General features: G+C 39.8%; 1 protein-coding gene across 2 annotated transcripts in view; it reads left to right on the forward strand.

The window, feature by feature from the left end:
• The window catches only part of PLCB1 (phospholipase C beta 1), a 752635-nt gene that overhangs the window by 642599 nt on the left and 84426 nt on the right, over positions 1 to 25610 (forward strand). For both annotated transcript variants that reach the window (NM_182734.3, NM_015192.4), the window contains exons 28-31: positions 13585 to 13661; positions 13769 to 13858; positions 14654 to 14711; positions 15311 to 15397. In NM_182734.3, the coding sequence (NP_877398.1) occupies positions 13585 to 13661; positions 13769 to 13858; positions 14654 to 14711; positions 15311 to 15397 (312 nt within the window). The remainder of the gene's footprint in view (positions 1 to 13584; positions 13662 to 13768; positions 13859 to 14653; positions 14712 to 15310; positions 15398 to 25610) is intronic.

A 25610-nucleotide genomic window follows, 5' to 3' on the forward strand; every position in this document is an offset into this window, starting at 1 on the left:
ACACTATTGTTTTTATAAGCCCCACTGTCTTAACATCTTTACCAAGCTTCTCTGTCTTCTGCCAATAAGGCTGTATTTTATCATTTTTATTTTCACTAACTTATGTTGAGTTTATAATTGCTTTTGGGAATCTTTGAAATCTCATAAGCAAATAGAAAACACTTATCTTTGTTTAAGAAATTAAGAACATGTTGCAAACAAATTTTCCCTTTTTTTTTTTTTTTTTTTTTTTGGTAGCACTGGGCTTTGTAAGAATTTTTTTAAAATTATACAGTACACTGTCCTATATTTAGAAAAGTCAGTACCTAAATGGCCAACACGGAATGTTGGCTACCCAATTCATAAGGCTCCCTATGAAAGGAAATGCCATCCTCACCATTAATAATCAGTTTTATTTTCCAAAATGTTTTCTCACGAATTGAGACATTCTCTCCATTTTTGTTGATTCCTTGATACATAGTAGGGACACAATAAATATTTGTGACAGATAGATTAGATAAATTTAGCAACAAAATATCCTTGAAAACAAGCTTATGCCAAAACCAAAGAAATAAGTAAGCTTGATAGAAATTAAGGTAGTGTATCCAGAAGAAATGGGTTTTAAGAGATATTTGTATAAGCTGTCTATTTCTTTGCTGAGGGTCTGTGCATATAAGAGAATTCTGAGCAGCTTCAGCTTGTAAGGTTGGAAGCCTATAGATGATTTAGCCATCACTGTATAATAGGTGATTCAGTGTAATTCTGTTGTTCTAGGATAACAGTCCCCAGTGACTGTATGCAATGAGTAGATCAAAATCACATGAATTGCTTATTGAAAATCAAATTCTAACGAGGCCCGTTATTCTCAACTTGAGCATGAATCAGAATCACCTGGAGAGCTTGTTAGAAGAGATTTTTAGGGTCTACCTTAAATTTTCAACAGATCTCTCGTAGGGCTGGTGTTTTCATATTTCTGATCCCAGGACCAGACTTCAAGAACTGCTGCCCAATACCTAAATGTGAGGCTCAGGATTTACTTTTTAACAAGCCCCACATGATTTCGAGGGGTTGCCTCATTTGTGAACTGCTGAAATAAGACGAAAGCAGTGAAAGAATGGCTGGGCAGGGGTTGGATCAGGCATAGGGAGGGATTGCCTTGACAGACCTGAGCAAGTCAAAGTAAATTTTAACGGGCAATAATGGCTTTGAGATCCGGCTATAACCACTGCCTTCTGACTTTCTCCAGCAACTCATCCCCAGTAGTCCAGAACATAATAAAAATTAAAATAGTGGCCGCATATTAAGCATTCACCATGGGGCTATATTCTGTGCTGAGTCATTTACAGGAAACAGCCTATTTAATTCTCACAATAACCATTAGAGTTTGGTACTATTGTCAGCCCCATTTTGCAGATAAAAAATGTATATAGCAAAATTTAGTGACTTTCCCAAGGATCCACAACTGGAAGGTGGTACATTTGGGATTTGAACCTTGGTCCTCGGGTTCTAGAGCCCCTGGTTTATAACCATTGTGTAGATGCCTCGGCTAATTCAGGTTTCAAGCCAATGTCATCATAATGAAGGGAGTTGCTCTGGTGTCCTGCTCACACAGAGAGCACACAGCAAACTTCTTCATTATGATACCTGGAATGCCATGCCTGTCTCTCTTTAAACAGCTTTATTTCCCAATCATACAATTCACTCATTTTAAAGTGTGCAGTTCAATGGTTTTTGTATATTCATAGATACGTACAACCACCACTAGAATCAATTTTAGAGCATTTTCATCGCCTTAAAAAGAAATCCTAATAAATTAGGCATTCAGCCATTCATTCATTCCTTGAAACAAATGCTTATTAGACACCTGCTTGTTAAATATTTTTAAACAGTAGTAAATAAAAATAACAATCCTAGGCTTTATGGAGCTTATATTGTAGAAGGATGAGTCAGACCATAAACAAAATAAGTTGGTAAAACATGTAGTATGTTAGGTAGTAATAAGGGCTTAGGAGAAAAACAATAACAGAAATGGGAGAATAAGGAGGGGCGGTTTGGGGAAGGATGATGAGGATGCTTGGCGATTTTAAATAGAGTAGGCACGGAAAGGTTTACGCAGAAGGCAACATCTGAGTTAAGAGGTGAAGAACTGACAACAGCCAACACAGGGAGGAGGATTCCTCCAGGCAGAAGGATTGGCATGCAAAGACTCTGGGCTGGAAATGGGCCTGAGTGTTGGGGGAACAGCACAGTGGCTCTGCCTGAAGAGGATTATAGGGCATCAGGTCAGAGAGATGGGACTTTTGAGGTGGGAGACAGATCTTCTGGGGTCTTTAGGCCTCTGTGTTTTCACTAGGAGTGAGGTGGGAACTGTTGGAAGCTTTTGAGCAGAGGATTGATGTGATCTGAAGAAACTTCCACAGGGACCACTCCGGGGCTGTGCTTCCCAGTACGTTACGGGAAGTGGTCTCCTAGGAAGAAGCCGTCCCAAAGTTCAGGCCAACAGCAGCCCAAGGGGTTAAGGAATCCTGGGGTCTCCAGCAGATGACTCAAGTTTACTAACAGGGTGAATGTTGCTTAGAAGTCTGGACATCCCAGCTGGGTGCGGTGGCTCACACCTGTGATCCCAGTACTTTGGGATGCCGAGGCAGGTGGATCACCTGAGTTCAGGAGTTCAAGACCAGCCTGGGAAACATAGTGAAACCCTGTCTCTACTAAAAATACAAAAATTAGCCAGGCATGGTGGTGGGTGCCTGTAATCCCAGCTACTCTGGAGGCTGAGGTGTGAGAATCGCTTGAACCCAGGAGGTGGAGGTTGCAGTGAGCCGAGATCATGCCATTACACTTCAGCCTGGGTGACAGAGCAAGACTCCATCTCAAAAAAAAAAAAAAAGAAGTCTGGACACCCCAATATTAGTCCATTTCCATGCTTCTAATAAAGACATACCTAAGACTGGGCAATATGAAGGAGGTTTAACTGGACTTAAACTTCACCGTGACTGGGGAAGCCTCACAGTCATGGCAGAAGACAAGTCATGTCTTACATGGATGGCAGCAGGCACAGAAAGAGTGCTTGTGCAGGGACATTTCTCTTTTTAAAACTGTCAGATCTCCTGAGACTCACTATCATGAGAACAGCATGGGAAAGACTTGCCCCCATGATTCATTACCTCCCACCAGGTCCCGCCCACAACATGTGGGAATTCAAGATGAGATTTGGGTGGCACACAGCCAAACCATATCACCGACTATAATCATCTGGAGTTTCCCCAGGGCCCCAACCCTTGGGCAAGACCATTCCCCAAGGAAAGACACATGGCAATTCAGAAGAGAGGTGGCAGAGTGAGAGGGAAGCCTAATACTCACGGGAGATTCCTGAAAGAGGAATTCAGAGTACAGATGAAAACAGAAGCCAAAACATCCCAAGAAGACCTCTTGGGGAGATTTGAGCTGCAGGAATAGGGGCCGAAGTCACAAGAAAGTCATGCAAAACCTAAACATCCCAGGAACAATGCCTCAGCATGAGGCACCATATGGAATCCCACTGATGAGGGTGTGGAAAGCAGCTCAGGAGCTTTTCTCCTGGAGGAGAAGGTTGGTTGGGAATTGGGGAAAACCAGCTGAGCTTGTAGGTGGGAAAATTGCACTTGAGGAGCTAGGGAGGTGGTAGAAATCCTACTAGAGGTGGCAACTCTACCATATGTCCTTCCACTTCCTTCTCACTAAGAAGGAATGTGAGTACACATTGTAAAAGTTTTGAAGACTGTTCAGAGGGACATAAATACATGCCCAAGTCAGCCTGGCCCTTTCAGGCCAAATGTAAGCCACTCACTCAAAGTGCTCACCCCTGCACCACTGTGATTGTGGATGTGGGTTTCAGATAAAGCCCCAGTGCCTGTTACACACACCTATCCCAGCCTTGTTAGGAAGGCTAAAGCCTGAATATCTTGGAATTAGAACCACACAATGTTTATTTTATGGCCATTTGGGAGCATTTACAATTTTTACTACCTGCCTTTAGCTGCGACGTGTGTGCCAAAGCTTCCTACTGGCTCCATTTGTAAGAATCAGAGATTGTTCTGTCAGGAAATCTTTTGACTGAAAGGCACCCAGAAGTGTTAGTTCTATCTTTGCTGGTGGTTCTAAGTAATGAACAGGCCTCCCAGGCTAAATTAGACAAACCGAAGTGTAATTAAAAAGTAAGCCCCAGGTTAAAAGAAGTATTTGGGTGATGAGGAAAATTAAGCCGACAGTATTTCATCTCCCAAAATTGCTTTGGGGATTAAATACCAACGTGCTTTGGTTAAGGATTATGCATTTCAAATGCCACATCCACAGTTCGAGAGTTAAGAAAGAAAGCATGGCATCCGTAAACTTCCTGTCAGATGTTTACTGAAAACTTAGTATTTGCACAACATTCTGATAGACACTGGAGACGAAAATGAATAAAACACGATCACCACACACACTCAGGGGATGTGTATAATAAACAGTACTAAGAAATGAAATAATAAAAGCAGGAAAAAATGGATATGAAAGCACAGATATAACTATTTGCCTAACTCTATCAATCGATAAGCACCTAGAGGATATTTTTGATGTAATTGTTCATATCATGATACGAGATGTAAAATGCACACCAAGCTCTGTAGACTCCACTTTTGTGCAAAAAAAAAAAAAAAAAAAAAAAAAAAAGGATCTGTGTCCCTAGAGCTCTACATCTAAATAACTCTACAGTCTGGCTACTCAAAGTGTGAAGTGTGGGCCGTGAATCACCTAGGAGTGTGTTAGACATGCAGAGTCTCAGGCCCCACTTCAGACCTGCTAAGTCAAAATTTGCATTTTAATAGGATTCCCAGGTGTCTTGTCATATGGTCAAGTTGAAGAAACAGTTTTAGAGTGTGTATCATTGCCCCAAATGCATTTTAGAGTAAGCCTACAATTTCCGTTATTTGAAATGGGAAATACAGTGAGCTCTTTACAGCTTGTCATCAAGTTGAGTGTATTATCTGTTGGTGACGAAGTCATAGTTCCTGTGGAAATCACCCCTGTGGTTCCCTCCCTACATCCACAGTAGAAGGTACTGGTTGCTTTAGTCGGAAGTGAGTGAAAATAAAGATGGAAGTTCCTCCACCCCATTCACGTGCTTGTGCTCCATGATATCTCTCAATGAACAGCTTGGGGGTCTGTAAACCCCAGGTAAGGACTTTTGCTCCAGAGAAGAACTACAGGGTCAGGGAATCTGTTCTAATTCATTTATCTGTTTTTCATCAACTGCTACTGGTTAAACCTGTGTTTCGTCTATACCATTAGGGTGAGGTTTTAATTTTAAAAGTGACTTTGGTGAGGCGTGGAAATTCTTAGGGATTTACCTGAGGGTCCCCAATCACTCTGGGTACTCAGCTCTACCATCACATTCTACTAAACACCCACAGCCCAGTGAGCAGGGATTTCGTTGTAATGTTAAGGAGTTTTTGCTTCTCAGCCACAGATGTGCTCGACCCACCATTTTGTCTTCTTTCTTCTTCCTCCTTTTTAGCGGCTTTACAAAGAGATTTCCTCATTTCTTTCACAGTTACCGTATGTGTTATCCTCTGCAGAGCCTTGCTTTGCTTCACTTTGCTTTGCTTCCTGTCTTTTCTCCCCTTTCCCATATCTCCCACATGTTCTAATCACATCCATTCACCTCTTTCTTTACATCAAACTGAATGGCTCGCGTTCTTCTTACAATCCTCATGTCTGTCCCACCAGCAATCATTTCAGGACCCCAAACCAACGTTAGTACCATCAAACTGAGTTCAGCCCCAGAAAGCTAAAAAGTTGTGTTTCAGACCGCAAGCTCTGGGCAGATACAGATCAGCTATGAATGGACGAGCCCACCAGGACAAGCAATCAGGTGCTGAGTGGGGGGTCTAGGGTCATATGTCCTCATTTCAGGCCACTGCTCCTCCACCAAGTCACTGCATGACCACCTGAATGTCAATTTTCTCACCTGTTCAATGGAGATAAAAATATCTCTTACCTCATGAAACTGTAAGGAGGAACAACAAGATAATGCACCTAAAATATTGTTTTTAATGAAAGCCTTTTTCTGTACAATACCTGAATTGACTAGGAAATCTATATGCACTTCAAATATAAACAAGTATTACAGTTTTTTATATCTTGCTACAGCTTGAGGGAACTCATTGTCTCTCCTTGAATGATTTCTACCAGCACTATGTGCTCTCCCAGCTATCTGGGAGCCACACTTGAATGTTCTCCTTTCTGTGGTTGCCTAGGTGATGTATATGTGCCAGGAGTAATTGCAGTCTCAGGAAGTATCCCTACTGTCAGTTGTGGTAGTGCCATCTGTCTTCCTCCAATATTTGGACTTTACATAGGGTCATTTTTTTTTTGAAAAATAATTTAGCTTTCCCAAAAAATGTTGCATTTTTCTACTAAACAAGAAATGACAAATAAGCAAAAGATGTTAGTAGTGAAATAAGAAATAAAATAATTGTTGACATTTTTGTCAATTTTCCTGATTATTACCCCAGTGGGATTCACACACACAAACACACACACACACACACAAACACACACACACACACACACACACACACACAAAGATCCAAATCCATATAGTTTTCAATTTGCTTCTTTTACTTAGCATTATGCCATGGTGATTTTTCATGTCATGCTTTTTAACGCTTTTTCATGGCTTCGTATTACTTTATTGCATGAATGTAGCTTAATTTATTTATCTAGTTCCCTACTCGAGGTGGTGTATTAGTCCGTTTTCACATGGCTGATAAAGACATAGCCAAGACTGGGCAATTTATACCCAAACTGTGAGGTTTAATTGAACTCATAGTTTCACATGGCTGGGGAGGCCTCATAATCATGGCAGAAAGCAAGGAGGAGCAAGTCACGTCTGACGTGGATGGCGGCAGGCAAAGAGAACTTGTGCAGGGAAACTCCCCAATATAATACTATTAGATCTTGTGAGACTTATTCGCTATCACAAGAACAGCACAGGAAAGACCCACCCCCATAATTCAATCATCTCCCACCAGGTCCCTCCCACAACACATGGGAATTATGGGAGCTACACGATGAGATTTGGGTGGGGACACAGAGCCAAACCATGTCAGGTGGCAACTCCACATTGAATAGAAGCCTTGGTCAGACTTTCACATTCATTTTTTCTTTGCTCAGCAAGGAAAAAAAATTTCAAAGATTATTATAACATTGAGACTCAAATAAGCAGCTATTTTAATATAAGTTCTATTTAGCTATGGAAATTTTAAAAATAAGAATTTTATAGGTGTGAAAGAATATCTCATAGAATGATCAAGATGCTTGACTTTTTTGTCCAAGACTTTCTCCTTCTGAAAAGAGAAGGGAGCTAGTAGAGATTATAGCTCTGGGTAGACAGGGCCCTCTCTGTCTGCTCACAGAGGAAGGTTGGACCATCAATACTAGCATAGTACTGGCACATAGTAGGTAAATATTCTTTGAATGAATGGTCAGGTCACACTCCCATATAAACATCTTCCTTGTTTTTGCTTTTGTTTTTGTTTTTTTAGAGACCAAGTCTAGCTTTGTTGCCCAGGCTGGAGGGCAGTGGTACAAACTTGGTGCACTGCAGCCTCCATCTCCTGGGCTTTAGTGGTCCTCCTACCTCAGCCTCCCAAGTAGCTGGGACTACAGGCACGCACCACCATGCCCAGCTAATTTTCTCTATTTTTTAAGAGACAGGTCTCACTATGTTGCCCAGGTTGGTCTCAAACTCCTGGCTTTGAGTGATCCTCCTGCCTCTACCTTGTTTTCAAATTGTTGGTGATGTGCTTGCTGTGTAGATCATTACTTAGTTCAGATGTTTTGTAAATTAATTTCTTGTAGAAGAAAAACAATGTATAGTGAAAATCCAGAGTAAATGCTTTGACTAAAAGGAAAGAAAGAGGCATCTTCTTTAGACATTAGTGGAAGGGAAAGGAAGATGTGTTGAGCCCGAAATATGAATATTCTAGACTTGGCTTTTTGCCTATGTTCCAAGATTATCCTTCTTAGAAGAGACTCCAAACATACAAATTTCTGTCCACATATTTTTTATCCCTTTTGAGTTAGAGTCAAGGAATTATTCTCCTCCATGGAAACCATTTTCTTGCCCTCAGATGACTAAACCAAGTGAAATTTAGCAGAGTTGAGAACAAGCGTGAAGTTTTATTCCCCAGGGCCTTTCTGTTAACTCCTTAAAAGGTTTGGAACATTGAGCTGGGAGAGTTATCATGAATGGCAAACAAACCAGCAAAAAGTAATTGAGATGTGTCTGTTCCTTTGGGACAGAAAAGAAAATCATACCAAAAGTGAAAATTAAATGTTGTTTACTACCATTCAGTTTACCACATACCTTCTTAATTTATTTCCTAGGAAGTCCAAGTGAATTTTTGCTTCTTCTCTACCTTTAATAGTCAGTTTACTTTCAGAGTTTTGTGACTAATAAATGATCGAATGGCTCTTTGAACAGAGCCAGCCTGCTGATAAATACACCAAAAGTTAGTATACCTTGCCTTTATGTTAGTCACAAAGCACTTCAATTATTATATGAAAAATCACTCTTCTGGGTACTATTTTCACATCTTATGCAGTAAGAACTTTGAGCCCAAAACACAGAAGTTTATCTTGTTTAGAGATTAAGCAGAGTTGTTTTATTTCTGTTTTTGTTTGTTTTTATTTTATCCTTATTCTTTTGATTGCAAGCCACAGAATTCCATGCTGGACTAACTTAGGCCAGAAGGGTATATACTAGAAAAGTACAAAGGGTATATCACATAAGAAAGGGGGCTGTCCAAACTCTGCCCCTGCTTTTCTCTGCATATTAGTGTTATTCTTTTCCAAAGTAGCAAGACAGGCTTCCCCTTGATAGAAAATACAGGCACTGATCCCTTCTGAGTTTTATTTCTCCATTGACATGTAGGAAAAATCTTGGGGAAAACCTTGTTTGGGTCCCATGATGACCAAGTCTGCAACCAGAAGTCAGAGTATGACTGACCCAACTTGGATTAATGCCTCCCCTGGACCAATTATCTTGGCCAAGAGATGGGGGGTAAAATATACAGCAGCTCCCAAGGGAAGCATGTGGGTGAGGCCATTCTCAGAAAGCAGAGGAAGTTCTTCCTGGAGAAGTAGTTAGTATTGGGTAGAGAAAACTACAGGTGTACCTCACATCCTCTCTTTGTAGCATAAAAAAGAGATAAATTATTGATGCCCATATAAAATCCCATTGCCAATTTAATGTGAGTTGGGCGGTAGTGGCATACTATTTAATATTAACAAAATCATAATATTAATTATTCTGTCTCCTGGAGGTTCAGTAGACAAAATTTAAATAAAAATAGTAAATGCCGTGTGGGCAGAACTTCAGTAGGAGTGAGGGTCTTCTGAAAACTAGCTGAGGTCGGGCTCGGTGGCTCACACCTGTAATCCCAGCACTTTGGGAGACTGAGAAGGGCAGATCACGTGAGGTCAGGAGTTCAAGAGCAGCCTGGGCAACATGGTGAAACCCTGTCTCTACTAAAATTACAGAAATTAGCTGGGTATGGTGGCACACGCCTGGAATCCCAGCTATTCGGGAGGCTGAGGCACTACAATCCCTTGAATCCAGGAAGTGGAGGTTGCAGTGAGCCGAGATTGCACCACTGCACTGCAGCCTGGGCAATAGAGCGACACTGTATCTCAAAAAAAAAAAAAAGGCTGAGATGAGCAGAGGTGGGGCTGTGTAGTAAGGCACTGTGGGGGAGATGAAGGCAAACTGAGTACAGTAGGACATTTACATATTTTACATATTAAACAGATATCCTCTGAAAACATATACTCCTTGGGATTCTAGGGAAACACCATTTTCATTTAATTGCATGCAAAAGCCTCAGTTTAAAAAATACACCTGGATTTCACATTAAGATGCTTTTTCCGGAAGGAACAAAATTTAGCTTGTTAAACACCAAACCTATATAATTTTAAAAGTATTTCCAATAAGGCAGCCTGTGGCTTGAATGTGAGCTTTCAGAGCTATCGCTGAGGTCGGGTCCAGTGTAGTTTTGAAACTTAAAAGATTTCATTCACAATCATTTTTTTCAGTGCCTATTTTGTCTAGAGCCTGGGATTCTAAACATTTATTAAGAATGGAAGGTTGAAATGGTGACATCCCTTTGTGGGAGCAATAATAAGATATTTACATACAAAAGGTATGTCTGTAAATGATACCCTGTAGGAAAAACCAATTAGGGGGCCAACACCCAGAGTTATCTGGGCAGTCAAAGGGGAGAATTACCTAAGGCTGGCTTAGAAAGGGAAGGGGCAGAGAGAAATTGAAATGGTTTCTTCCAGATTGTCTCCATCTTCCACAACCACCAAGACAATGCTTTTCAAACTCTAATGTGCACTCAAATCTCCTGGGAATTTTGTTGAACATGTAGATTCTGACTTAGTTGATCTGGAGTAGGGCCCGAGAACTTACATTTCTAATGTGCTCCCTGGTGATGCTCTTGCCACTGGTATGTGGACTACACTTTGAGTAGCAAGATCTAGAAAGCCAGGTCATCAGCTCAGAGTTTCTAGAACAGTGCCTGCTATTTAGTAGGTGCTTAATAAATATCCATTGCATCGTGGCTGAATCAGATAGTTTAGATAAGTGTGTGTTCTGGGACCACAGGAGGTGGAAACTTGTTCTGCAAGGGGTAAAGGGCAAATGCAGGGGGTGTGATGGGAGCCAAGAGGGAGGCAAAAGGACGTGGCAGACAGGGAACTTCTGGGGAGTCTGGAGGGAGTGTGGCACTGACAGTGGTGTGGAGCCTGACACCAAACCAACATAAAAGTCAGAACTGAGTGGGCAGAAGGTCTGTGAGTTCTCCAGCTTAGTCTCAATATTGACTGGAGGCCGATGCTGCTGAGGATAAAGGCAGTAGGCGGAAGGGAAACAGCACATGTGAGCAGATGCTGGCATAATCAAGAAAATATTCTGAAGTCAGGTGAATGATAGAGATGAGGACATGGAAACAGGAATATAATTGTTACTGAATTCAAAAGAGTTGCTGGGAGACTTAGCAGTGGCTTGTAGAATGAGGGAGGGTCCACCAAGACAACCTCCCACTTCAAGTCTGGCACAAAGCATCCAAATCACCTCAGGAGATTTTGAGAATATTGATTCCCAGGCCCTACCCCTAGACATTTGGAGTCCATAGGTCCTGGAATCTGTATTTTTAAGAAGTTCCCCCACATGATTCTGATGTTGCAGCCAAGGAAGGTGATCCCTGGATAACTCTCTGTAACTCCTTCAAGTGGTTGGAAGAGGAGAAAAGCCCTCTAGGGAAGGGAAGGTGCTAGTGAGAGGACACTTTCAGCTAAATAGAGACGTTGCAGGAGACCCCAAGGAAATGGCCAGAGTCTTTGCACACTGGAATTTTACATCTAGACAGCTTGATAAATGGCATGACTACAAAGTAATGCCTCATGATTTCTTTAATTGTGATAATCATGATTAGGCAATCCCTTTTGAATGATCAAATAGGCTTTCTGCTGGCCCAAGTCCTAGTTAATATTTGTTCAGATTTAATCCACTTCACAGATGAATGCATCAAATTTCATGATAATTTTAAACGAATGTGGATTCCGTATCGTAATTCTCTTGCAAGCCATGGAACCTTATTTGTCTGGGTTTGTACCCATCTCAGCCACTTACCAGCTTTGGGGCCCTGAGCCCAGGACTTGAGCCAGATGTGTCAGCGTGTTCTTATGTAAAACAAAAATAATAACACCAACCGCATAGGGCAATTCTCAGAATTAAATAAATACATGTGAATCTTTTTTGTTTTTTTTTTTTTTGAGACAGAGTTTTGCTCTTGTTGCCTAGAGTGTGCCCAGAGTTGCTGGAGTGCAGTGGTGCAATCTCGGCTCACTGCAACCTCCACCTCCCGGATTCAAGTGATTCTCCTGCCTCAGCCTCCCAAGTAGCTGGGATTACAGGCACCCACCACCAGGCCTGGCTAACTTTCTGTATTTTTAGTAGAGACAGGGTTTTACCGTGTTGGCCAGGCTAGTCTCAAACTCCTGACCTCAAGCGATCCACCTGCCTCGGCCTCCCAAAGTGCTGGAATTAAAGTGTGAGCCACTGTGCCCAGCCACATGTGAATCTTTTAAAACTAGGCCTGACATATAGAAATTATCAGTTAAAGTGTTGTAGGACCCTATCCTTAGTTCAGCTAAAGACGGGTTCCTTGTCACATGGCCACAAAAAGTTAGGCTTGAAGGCAATTTGAAGAGTGAGGAGGACAGGGTTTTATTGTGTTGAAAGGAAAAGAGGGAAACAGGTTATCTCCACAAGGCTGGAGTCCCTGCTAGTGTGCTTCCCACCTTGCAGATTGAATTCCAAGTTCCACCCAGGAAGAGGAGTGGCCAGGCTCCTCCCTGCTGCAAATGGGGTGGATTTCTGTGGCTCCACCTCAGTGTGCATTCCTCCCAGTGAGCAGGCCCGTTGCAGTTTTTCCGGGGACTCCCTTATACTTGGCTGTCTCAAAAGTTTGTGGTATTATGATTTGTCTTGTCACTATTACAGCTGCCACTTATAGAAGACTAGTCAACTCAGCTTGCCTTATATGTTTTTGGGAAAGAGAATCTCCATCTATGGGAAAAGCAGTGGGGGCTTTCAGAGGATGTCCACACTGTCTATTGGGTGCTCCAGTAAGAAGGGTTGAGTCCAGTTGCTACAGCCACCTGAAAACCTTGCAGAAGGTTCTCCAGGTTCCTCATGAGGAAAAAAGGAAAAGATTACCAGGCACAATTACCTTTATGTAATTGGCAAACACTTACTGGGCATCAAGTGAATATTAGGAATTGTGCAGAATACCAAGGATACAAAAACACAATTGATGCCCCCTTGGGGCTTGATTTGATAATAGATGTATGACAATAAATACTTGCGTTCACAGTGATGTAGTGACAGTTCATTGAAAGCACAAAGAGAATTTCTGATGTTCTTTATATCTACTGGAAATTACCCACGCAAGAACATAAATGTCAACTTCTAAGATGGGAAACTCATGTTATCCTCAAAGCAATTCAACAATGAATGATAGTTGTGAGCCAAGAATTATAACTTGCTGTTGATTATAACTTACATTTGTGTCATACTTATTTTTATTTTGAGCTTCACAGCACCTCCAAAGACATAAAGACAGTGATCAACTGAGAAAATGTAGGTTCTGAAAATGTAGGGTCTTGCCCCAAATTTCACTTTTAATAAGTCTTAGGGTAGAGATTGGAACCAGGTTCTACACTGTAAGTTGTCTTTGCACTGAGCTGGGCTATAATAACTGCCACAACAATCTAATGAATTCTGTTTAATTAAAAAGAGATAATAAGAAGAATTTCATATTAAAACCCATAAGCCTAGATAATATGATGGTTCTAAATTGTCCTCATTGCCAATGTTAGATGTCTGACAACTTTAACTATTGTGAAACATCCATCACAGATATTCTAACTATAGATTCTGTTGTTTGAGGGAGGTGGGAAGGAAGCTCTGTTTGCAATCATTTGAAATAGCAAACTGACATTTTCTTTTTCCAGCTTATTCAAAAGTTGACGGATGTCGCAGAAGAGTGTCAGAACAATCAGTTAAAGAAGCTCAAAGAAATCTGTGAGAAGTAAGCCCTCATTCCCATTACAATTGACATGTGCATCTGAATTTATTCAACACAAATTCCCATCTGATTTGCCTCTTTTTTCTCTTTTACTTCCATTGTGACTTCAGAGAAAAGAAAGAATTAAAGAAGAAAATGGATAAAAAGAGGCAGGAGAAGATAACAGAAGCTAAATCCAAAGACAAAAGTCAGATGGAAGAGTAAGTCAAAAGTGTCCCCTCTCCCAAACAGTTCATCTGGGAATTATTTTATTTTGTACGTCAGAGTCACAGGTTCATAACCAGTCAAAGACTCCTTCGTGAAGTTTCTCCTCTAGTCAGCCTTTCAAAAGATTCTTTTGGTAAGGTTTTTAACAGGGAAGGCTCAAGCAAAGACTGGTTCAATAAAGGAGTGAGGCACACCCAGGGCCTTTTAGATAAAGAGTAAGCAAAGAGCTTCCCTCAGGGAAAGGCTAAATCCTCACTTCCTACCCATAATCTTCCTGGCATTTAGTGAAAACAGAGCCTGTGCCTTGGGAGGAACCTGACCTTTGTCCAAAGGCTGGCAGATTATACCTTCCTTGTAGCAGTAATAAGAATGTTGCTATGGCTCACACTTGTAATCTCAGCACTTTGAAAGGCCTAGGTGGGAGGATTGCTTGAGGCCAGGAGTTCAATAGGGGCCTGGGCAACACAGGGAGACTCTGTCTCTACAAAAAAATTTTAAGATTAGCTGGGTGTGGTGGTGCACACCTATATTTCCAGCTACTCAGAAGGCTGAGGCTGGAGGATGGCTTCAGCATGGGAGGTCAAGGCTTCAGTGAGCCATGATGGTGCCACTGCACTCTACCATGGGCAACAGAGCGAAACCTTGTCTCCAATAAATAAATAGATAAAAATAAGGAAAAAAGAAAAAGAATGTTGAGAGTTCTGTAACCTTTTATCTAGAAGTCTGAGATTACCATTTGTCAATTCTGGATGAATTGGTATAATGATGTATTCATCATTTGCTTTTAGGGAGAAGACAGAGATGATCCGGTCATATATCCAGGAAGTGGTGCAGTATATCAAGAGGGTATGTGGGCTCATCACGCTCTCTCCTTTGCAAAACATGTGTGAACATTTGGTGAGCTCGCTGTGAGCTTCTGGAAGGAAATGTCATGCCTTGCCATAACTTTTTATCACTAGCACCTAGCAGAGCTGTTTCACAGGGTGGGCACTCCTTAATCAACATTTCTGCAAGTTGAATTGCAAACCACTTTGTAAAAGGATTCATCTAAAAATAGAGTCAAGTCATTTCCAAAGTCAAGAGCCCAGAAACATATTGTAAATGATAGTGTTCCCAAAAGAACCTTTAATTGTCATCAATGATAGAGATGATGGCAACCTCGAAGGGCTGTCCTTTTTTTTTCCAATTTAATGTCATAGAAATGTTTACATATTTATAAAAAGGTAAGAACAGTGCAGTCCATTGATCACCACCTCCCACCCTTATGTTTCTGTCACCTAGCTTCAACACTTACTACAGTTTCCTATACTTGTAAGTGTAGTTCTTGATCAGGAGATCAAATAATCAAATGTAAGCCATAGATCTGAAAAGCTTTCGGTATTTTCTGAAAACGTGCACTTTTAAATGTTTAGATGAAAGTAATGTTTCTTGTAACTTTCTTATAGCTAGAAGAAGCGCAAAGTAAACGGCAAGAAAAACTCGTAGAGAAACACAAGGAAATACGTCAGCAGATCCTGGATGAAAAGCCCAAGGTAAACGGAACTGAATTAAAATGAACAATTATTTTATTTGATTTCCATTTAGTAAGAGTAAAACCTTCCTGGTTTACATAAGTACCTTGTACACAGTCTCAGATCAGTTCTTGCATATGAAACTCATGTATCTTTCTCAATGAAGGAAAAAATATAGCAATATTCAGTAAGCATTTATCATCACCTGGTGAGCTTTTAAAAACTGCAAATATGCAGAACCCAGCCCCAGAGATTTGGCTTTAACTAATCTGGGGTATGGCTCAGACAAAGGTATTTTTATAGTCCGTTTCCCCTGGAGAATCAGAGACTAACCAAACCTTCAGTTTGGGTACTACTAAGTAAACGTCAGTTCTAAATAGCTGATGTAATGTTGTAATGCCACCCTCTGTCCAGCAGAGGATGCCCTGCACCAAAATCACTTTGGTTTTTATCTAGCAAAATAGTCTCATAAATCAGAGAAAAGCAAATCTTTTGTTTCCCATAGTAACAGTTGATTGGGGCTCTGCTTTAAAATTATCTTATGTTCATTGTTTGGTTAAAATTAATTGTCTTATGAATATTAACTTTGAATGAACTGAGTATCTGTAGATCAAATACTTTGAGGTTACCAAATGGCATCTCAGTTTTAGAACATTCCTTCCATTTTGATTCATCACTGAATAGTTTTCTGTTTGTGGAAATTGTGTTTTTCAATTTTCCTGCGCTTCTATTTTCAATTTAAAATATCTACTCTAAAAAGTACTGCCATTCCACACAAGCATTTCTCGAGTCCTAAAAGTTAAAAAACGTTAGTTTTATTTAATTGTATGTTTCATTCACCAGTTTACTTCTTATAGATTTCTTATGGATAATTCTAAATATATTTTCATGGTTCTTTGTGCTCTTATGCTTTCATATTTATTATATAAGACATTTATTTAATATTTTTAATTTCTAAGTTTTTAGGGTTGGCAATATAGATTCTCAAGCAAGAATTAATAATTACTTAGATATGGTGCTAATTCTTACGTTTCTCCTATAAACATATAATGTAGATCTTCTCAGCCACCCTCTCAGGTTGATTATGCACTAATAAAGTGGAATAAATTTTAACATAATTTCAGAAATTGCTATACTTTCCAATCAGAATTGATCTTTTTAAAATGCTCAAATTATTTAGAGCAAAAGATCCAGTTTGACTGAAATTTAAGAAACACTTTAATAATAATCAGTCTCAGGTGATATATTCAGATACATACATTTCTAATCTATGCTGTCTGGTTTTAAATTTGTCATTACTTTGTACACTGACATAATAGAATTTGCTTATGGTTGATGGCTCAGCTAGTTTTTGTATTTCAAAAAAATTTAGGTAATATGGTTCTTTTCAGAGTTTCATTTTGCTTTTTTTTTTCATGCGTGTTTTGGTTCAACAATGTTAACTATTTTACTTACAGATAAAATGTGAATGTAAAATCATTAATGTGTTTAAATTATATAACTCTCAGTATCAGTAACCCATACAAAGATTTTCTTGTTACTGCTCTAGGTCATCATGATTAAAATCAACCTCAGTAAATGTGGAAGCACCCTTAAACTTCTTCCCTGGATATAACTGGACATGAAAAGAACTAATAACTTTTGGCTGATTTATTAACAGTCAGGGTGCATTCAGCTGCAATTTTACAATAAGCCCAATTAAAACTGGCTTCAACAGTTATAGTATTTAGTAAGCCACGTTACTGGAAATTCAGAGGTACTACAGTTGTAACAGTGATTAATTTAGTGGCTTAACAATTTCATCTCCAGGTATTTTTAGAATTTCCACTGTTGTTGCCTTCTAGATCCAGACCGTGAACTCAGTCATGAGATGGCTGCCCTAGCTCCACACATCATAACCTTACATGAAACCACTCAAAGGACGTGCAGCAAATGTCTTCATTTTGTAACCCTTTCTAGGATTGAGAAAAACCTTCCTACATCCCCTCTAGCTGGTGTTTCCTCATTGGGTACAATGGCCTCATATTCCCATTCTTAAACCAATCATGGGCAGTAGGGTATCACTTTCATGATTGGCTTAGAGTAATTAAGATTCACTCACAAGGCTAGAGAGAGTTCAGTTTTCCTCAGTTCCATGGTCATCAGGTACCTGAACAAAACTGATATTTTATCATCAAAGAAATAGAGGGGAAATAGCAACTGGGTAGACAGGTTACATACAGTGTACGTTACAGCCATGTTTATAACAATTTTTTGTTTCTTCCTTTCTGGCCCCTTGGAAAGAGATCTGAAGTGTTTCTATGAATTTTTAGTAGTTCTATTGTCTGCGTTTTTTATTGTAAATAGGTACCATGATGAATTCCTCTGTGCTTTTCTTCCATGAGGTTGCTCCATGACCATCTTTTTGTGTCTGGATTTGAAGGTTGCCCATGAAGATTGTTGGTTCCATGTCAAACTAAAGCATTTCTTGAGGGTTTTTCTTCATGGCTTAAAAACGTTGTGCCTTAAAGCTGTGATTTTATTAATAAAATAATAAATCATGACTGTTAACATTGTAGGACATGGTGGTTAATAAAGGGAAATGACAATGACAACAGGAGCAGCAATAGACAGTAGAGTAAAAGAACAAAATCAAGTGTGAGACATGTGAAGAAAGACCAAAGCACAGGACAGCAAAGTAGGTATTAATAAATGGGTGGTGAGGAGAGGCCAGGCCAGCATAGCAGTCGCTGATGCTCCTGTAACTGTGGGGCATGGATGGAAAATACAGTAACACTGGCTTTGAAATAATCCCTCTCCACATCTAGTACTGAAACAGGCTTTGAATCTTGACATAGACATGAGGGAAATTAGCAAAAGCAGAAACAAAACAAGGAACAACCCAAGGAAATGAAACTGATCAATAGTATCTCTAAAACAAGTCCACGGAGTCAGTTCCATTCAGTCAGATAAGAAAACAGAGTGATTTCGTGACATCTAGAACTTTATGAATGGTTCCATTACTGGGTTTTGGATGAGGAACGTGAGCTGACATTGCAGCAGGTAATATTAAAGACAATTGTAACCTTCTTATGAAGAAGAAACCATGCCAAACTTTGCCACAGGTTACTGAGGAGAATAGAGTTCCTCCCTCAACTAATTTACAGATGGTATCGGGGAATCTGCCCCGATATTCACGTAGGTTCTTTTCTATTTTTCCTAAGCATCGGCTGGCTTGAGAAATAAAGGGACAGAGTAAAAAAGAGAGAAATTTTAAGGCTGGGTGTCCGGGGGAGACATCACACGTTGGTAGGATCCGTGATGCCCCCACAAGCCGCAAAAACCAGCAAGTTTTTATTAGAGATTTTCAAAAGCGGAGGGAGTGTGCAAATAGGTGTGGGTGACAGACGAGTACTTAACAGGGTAATAGAATATCACAAGGCAAGTGGAGGCAGGGCGAGATCACAGGACCACAGGACCACAGGACCGAGGCAAAATTAAAATTGCTAATGAAGTTTTGGGCACCATTGTCATTGATAACATCTTATCAGTAGACAGCGTTTTGAGATCAACTGGTCTGACCAAAATTTATTAGGTGGGAATTTCCTCTTCCTAATAAGCCTGGGAGCACTATGGGAGACTGGAGTCTATTGCATCTCTGCAGCCTCAACAGTAAGAGACAGCTATGCCCGGGGGGCCAGTTTAGAGACCCACCCGCAGGCGCACATTATCTTTCTCAGGGATGTTCCATGCTGAGAAAAAGAATTCAGCGATATTTCTCCCATTTGCTTTTGAAAGAAGAGAAATATGGCTCTGTTCTGCCCGGCTCACCAGCGGTCAGAGTTTAAGGTTATCTCTCTTGTTTCCTAAACATTGCTGTTGTCTTGGTCTTTTTTCAAGGTGCCCCAGATTTCATATTGTTTAAACACATGTGCTCTACAATTTGTGCAGTTAATGCAATTATCACATGGTCCTGAGGTGACATACATCCTCCTCGGCTGACAGGATTAAGAGAATAAAATAAAGACAGGCATAGGAAATCACAAGGGTATTGATTGGGGAAGTGATAAGTGTTCATGAAATCTTTACAATTTATGTTTAGAGATTGCAGTAAAGACAGGCGTAAGAAATTATAAAAGTATTAATTTGGGGAACTAATAAATGTCCATAAAATCTTCACAATCCACGTTCTTCTGCCATGGCTTCAGCCGGTCCCTCCATATGGGGTCCCTGACTTCCTGCAACAAGATGGGATGAAGTTTTTTAACTAGAAAGTGATCATAGCTAAGTTTTTGCAGACACCAAAAGTATGTATAGGCTACATGACATCATATTTCTTCCTGTTCTTCCATTTCTTTCACCATGTTGTTGTATATAATAATTTACTTTCTCTTCATCCACTTATTCTAACTAATGTAATAGTGTGTTTCATGTTCCTAATCTTGTCTTAACAGGGAGGAAGCTCTTTTTTTACATTACTGTTTGCTCTGGGATATTACTATTTTGAGCTATTCTGAACCTTGATCAACTTAGAAAATCATATCAATATAATTTTCTAAGCCATTGGTAAATAAACAACTCCTTTGAAAGTAACAAACAGATATTTTGTAAATCTTTCAGCAAAAGAAATTTGAAAAGCCAATGGCTCAAAGTTAACAGTTTTTCAGTGGCAAAGAAGTATTTATTCTGGCTCAATTTAGAGCAAACTACACATGAAACCTCATTCAAAGTGTGACTTTGCTAGCAGTTTACTCAACAATGGGCATGTCATCTAGAGTTCCCAACATTTTTACCATCCTGCAATAGCAGTCATAGGAGAATATGCCTCAATCAAAATCAGGCTAAAAATTTGTTTCAATTCTGCATGTGAGCTGGGACCTTAAGTCTTTCTGGTCGCTATTTGGTAGGGGACCAAATGTGGCCAGTCACACTGGAAAAGTTTATTTTAGATTGTCCCACTTTGTGACATGCACTAGGATCTTTTCATGTGGAGAGTTCATTTTTTCCCTATGAAAAAAGAGATTCAATTAGTTTATTCATTTTGTAGGTAATTTTGAGGGCATTGGGGAAAACAGAAGTAGGTGGTCCCTCGAAGCAACTTGTACAATAAAATATTTTGGCCTCAATTTGACACAAAATGATGTTGTACATTGCTGCACATAAGTCCCATGGAAACTTATTATGTTATAAACAACAAGAGACACTCTTAGAAGGGAATACTTGGCTCCTTTCCAGTAGAGTTCTGAATTCTGGAGAAACATTCGACTGCATGTTTTCTAGCAATGAGATATTCGATTCAGTCCTTGAGTGTATGTGGGTTTCAGTTTTGTTTGAGTTGTGGCTTTTTATGAAATCCATAGTGGTAGAATTTTCAAGATGGACGCAGTAAACACTGGCCAGTCTTCTGACTCAGTGAAATAATTGGTTTCCTGGGGATTTCCATACCTGGGTTTGCCAAAGCCAGTAGGAAACATGGGGAAACCCCATCTCTACCAAAATACAAAAATTAGCCAGGTGTGGTGGTGGGCGCTGGTAGTCCCGGCTACTTGGGAGGCTGAGGCAGGAGAATCACTGGAACCCGGGAGGCGGAGGTTGCAGTGAGCCGAGATCGCGCCACTGCATTCAAGCCTGGGCGACTGAGTGAGACCACCCTGTCTCAAAAAAAAAAAAAAAAAGAAAAGAAAACACGGTTAGTCACAAGTTGCCTTGAGTCTGTTGTGAATATGCCAATGTTTATTGATCACTTTGCTGCTCCTGACTCTCTTTATAAGAAGAATCATCTTTTGAGGGGAATATTTAATGAACTATCTCCATAACCTCATAAAACAGTCAATAAATGTGTAATTTACTTTTTCTCTGATGCTTAATTTGTCTTTGATGCTTCTTAGAACACAGGTTTTCTGCTTAATTTAGCTCATCATCAAGAGAGAATTCCGGGAAGCTTTAGGGCATTTTAATTCATTCCCAAAGAACATTTCATCATGTAGCTACTGGCTCTTTTTTTTCCCTCCACCAAGGGAATATAGACTGATTTTCCTTATTTCCCCTCTGACATCTTTGTAACAGGGTGATTGACTCATCCCTCTGCTTGAAGTTAGTCTTGTTAGACCTACCGCTGGGCTCTGAGACAGAACCTTAAATGCGGCTGATATCTCCTGTGTTTGGGAGAGAAAAGGCAAACTTCGGGATTTAAAATAAAATATTTTTTAAAGTAATGCATTTGTGCCTCCTCTAATCTTTTGCGGCTTGATGGGGAAATGGATTCTTCCTTGCCAGCACTTATTGGATCTTCTCCCAGAAGCCAAACTTGCAGAGTGGAAACTGGCTGCTTATAGACAGTGTTTCTGCTCATTGTCAAGTCTCAATTAACCACACAGTGGTTTGTTTTTGTTTGTTCTGTAGAAGAAAATTCTTTTTCATTTTTGTCAATATAAAGAATTGCCTTTTTAGGAAACAAATATAGTTATGCCTTATTTTCTTGAGTATAAAACTTAGACATGTTTACTCTCCTTCTGGGCAATACCAGGGCATTGGAACAATTTTAATTCCACTGGTCCCTCATCAGTTTATTTTTGAAATTTAATCTAATAGACTTTTAAACACATAAGACATTATTCTATGTTTTGATCATGGTTCATTTAGATATGTCTACATATTCACATATTCTTTGTGAAACGTTTTTTCTTGTATCTTCTGCCCATTTGGGATCATCATCTTGTACTTCCTCTAGAAGTTCCTTTCATGCGGTCTACTGGTGGGAAACTCTTTGGAGTTTTTATTTTTGTTTTTGTGCAGAAATGTCTTTGTTTGTTTAATGTAGTAATAGATGAGAATCTACATTTCCTCCATTCTGGAATGATATTTTCACTGGATATAAAATTTTGTGTTGGTGGTTATTTTCCTTTAGCACACTGAAGATAAACTTCCACCACCCTCTAGCATCTATTGCTGTTCTTGAGAGGTTAACTGTTAGTCTTAATACAGTTCTTTTGATGATAATTTATATTCCCCCTCCCCCCACCGACAGCATTTAGTATTTTTTTCTTACATTTTGTGCAGTTTTTCTATAGTGTGTCTAAATATGTGTTTGAGATGGCTAGATGGATCACTTTCCTCAGTTCTGCAAAAACTCTAAACTATCATGAAAGCAAATATGGCTTCTGTCATTTTTTTTCTTTCCTTCTAAGATTCCATATATATTTGCATATAAAATAAAATGAACCTTTTTACTCCATCTCCTCTGTCAATGAATTGTTTTTAGTATTTTCCATCCTTCGTCTTTCTTTACTGCTCTGTGGGCAATTTTTTTTCCTACACTTTTTGCAATGCACCAATTTTTTGTTTAAACTTCTATTCTATGCATCCACTGAGTGTTTAATTTCAGGTTTTGTATTTTATTTCCAGATGTTCTATTTGGTTTATTTTCAAATATATAATCTGTATGTCTTAGCTTGTTGCAGGGAAGCTTTCCTGTGAGATTTCTCACTCTGGGAAAGCCTCAGCTCTTGACTGTAGGCTCCTCACCTTTCAAGGCTATCAAAGGGTGAACACACAATTTCCATCATGAGCAAAAGCCTATCAGGGCAAAAGCAGCTTCCTTGCTTATTACCTTTCTAGGTTCAATGTCCCCTTCAGTTTGACCCTGATCATTAAGTTGTTGTAGTTCTCTGGGTCTTTAAAGATAGTTTTAATGGCCAGGCATGGTGGCTTATGTCTGTAATCCCAACACTTTGGGAGGCCAAGACAGCAGGATCACTTGAGGTCAGGAGTTTGAGACCAGCCTCGCCAACATGGTGAAACACTGACTCTATTAAAAACAATACAAACATTAGTCAGGCATGCTGGTGTGCACCTGTAATCCCAGCTACCCTGGAGGCTAAGGTGGGAGAATTGCTTGGACCTGGGAGGTGGAGGCTGCAGTGAGCCGAGATCATGCCACTGCACTCCAGACTGTGTGACAGCGCAAGACTCTATATCGAAAAAAAAAAAAAGCTTTAGTATCAAACCCAGCTTCTTAATTTTTTTCAGTGGAAAGGATGGTCCAAATAACCTAATCAGCCATTACCAGAAATAGAAAGTCCCCACATTGCATTTCTGAAATATTTGAATTAGTTAACATCTGTATCAGTCAGGGTTCAACTAGAAAAACAGAGCCAGTAAAAGATTGTGTGTGTGTGTGACAGTAATTGGCTTATGCAATTTTGGTGGATGGCTATCTGCCCCGTTCTCAATGCTGTCTCTCTAATGATGGACCCTAGCAGGCAGGCAGGAAAGGAAAATTACAAGTAGGCTTGGTGACTAGAGTAACCAGCAGAAGCTGAGCCTCTTTGTCACAGAGTTGAACATACACACATACACACACACACACACACACACCCCTGGCCCAGGAGTCAGACAATTAAAGGAAGACCCAATGGGCAGGGGAAGTGATTGCAGGCTCAGCTGCTGCTTCCCATCAACCAGACACATAAATCAACAGATCAGCAACAATGCCTGAGTATTACACAATGACTGCTGACTCCCCCATCAGCCCTCCAATTCTCAGAAGAATCTCCATGGAACCCACAATAGCTGGAAACATACAGAAAGGGAACTCTGGGAAATATAGTTTGGCTGAGACAGTTGGCACAATAAGAAGCATCACACTGTTAAGTAAAAATCAGAAAATGTTTTATTTCAAAAATACTCTGTGTCTCTTGAAAAATTAGATTCTAAGATTATAATAGAAACATGCAAAGAATTTCTAAAGCTAAGAAGAAGCTGTCCCTTAGGGCTGCATGGTACTCCCTAGGCTGTTTCAAAGATTGCTATTGTCTATTGGCCCCATAAGGTAACTGAGTTTGAGATTTAAACAAAAATTAAAACTTAGATTCGCATGGATGCCGTTGATTCCTCCCCCTTTTCTTTACCATATCAACTTTCTTTCCCCCTCCTTTGTCCATATTTTTCTTTCTTGAGGATGAGAAAATGTGGACATATGGTGATAAATGTACTGGATAGAGGGCAGAGGCTCAGAAGAGAATCTTCCCCACCTGCTAGAGTAGGGGGCTACATGTTGGTGGGGTTCAGCGTCTTCCCAGCAAACAATGATTTTAACACCGGGAATAGGATGAGGTGGACTTTTATCATATTGGCTTTCATCTGCCCACCTGCCATACATGAAAAGTCCACACAACCACGGATGGAAAACCTTTTGGGTTTATTTCCACTTCTACTTCTGTGTGCCTGTCATTGGGCATGATTTCTGTGAATTTTGCTAATACTCATTAGATTTTTTTAATCCTCAATGTATCTCTGTTTTTTTTAAAGCCCTATTTTGATATAACCAGGATAGTGAAAATTATCAAACACACACATCCAAACCACTTTAAAGCAACTAATGTAAAATTTTAATTGTTTTCTAGAAACCAATAGCTGATTTAACTATGACCTTCAATATTTTAAAGGGAAAAGATGGCCAACCTCAAACCAAGAGAAATACTCTCATCCCTTGGTATCTATGGATGGTTGGTTCCAGGACTCCCCTCAGATACCCAAATCCACAGATGCTCAGGTCCTTTATATAACATTGTATAGTATTTGCATATAATCTATGCATATTCTCCCATGTACTTTGTCATTTCTAGGTTATTTATAATACCTACTACAATGTAAGTTCTACGTAAATAGTGTTATACTGTATTGTTTAGGGAATCATGTCAAGAAAAAATGTCTATACATGTTCAGTACAGACACAACCATCCACTTATGGTTCTTCTGAATAGTTTTGATCCAAAAGTGGTTGAATCCACAGATGTGGAACCCATGGATATGAAGGGGATGACTGTATTTACCTACAGAAAATCCAAAGAGGAAATCTACTAGATGCTTTGAGATATTTGATGAAGAAGTACTTGGAGATGAGAGAAAAGGCTATTGCATGAGGGCAAATGCAGGCATACTGGGCTGAAGAAAACACTGAAGAAATTTTTCCTTCCAAATAGGAAAGCAGTTGCCAAGAACAGCATTACAGTCTCTGTTTTCCATGTATTATATTATATCTAAGGCCATATTCATGCAGCAAATTCACCACTTGGAGTGCTGTTTATACATTTTCTGTCAACAGAAATCAACAGACACAAGTGTTCTGTGTTTATTATAATCATTAGTTGAGGTTAATCTTTGATTTGTCAAGGAGGTGTTTGAATTTCCTCAAATAATATTTTCAGATTTTAAAGAGTCACACACACACACACATATACACAATAACACATTT

This window comes from Homo sapiens, chromosome 20 (genome assembly GCF_000001405.40).
Source record: "Homo sapiens chromosome 20, GRCh38.p14 Primary Assembly".
Taxonomy (NCBI): Eukaryota; Metazoa; Chordata; class Mammalia; order Primates; family Hominidae; genus Homo; species Homo sapiens.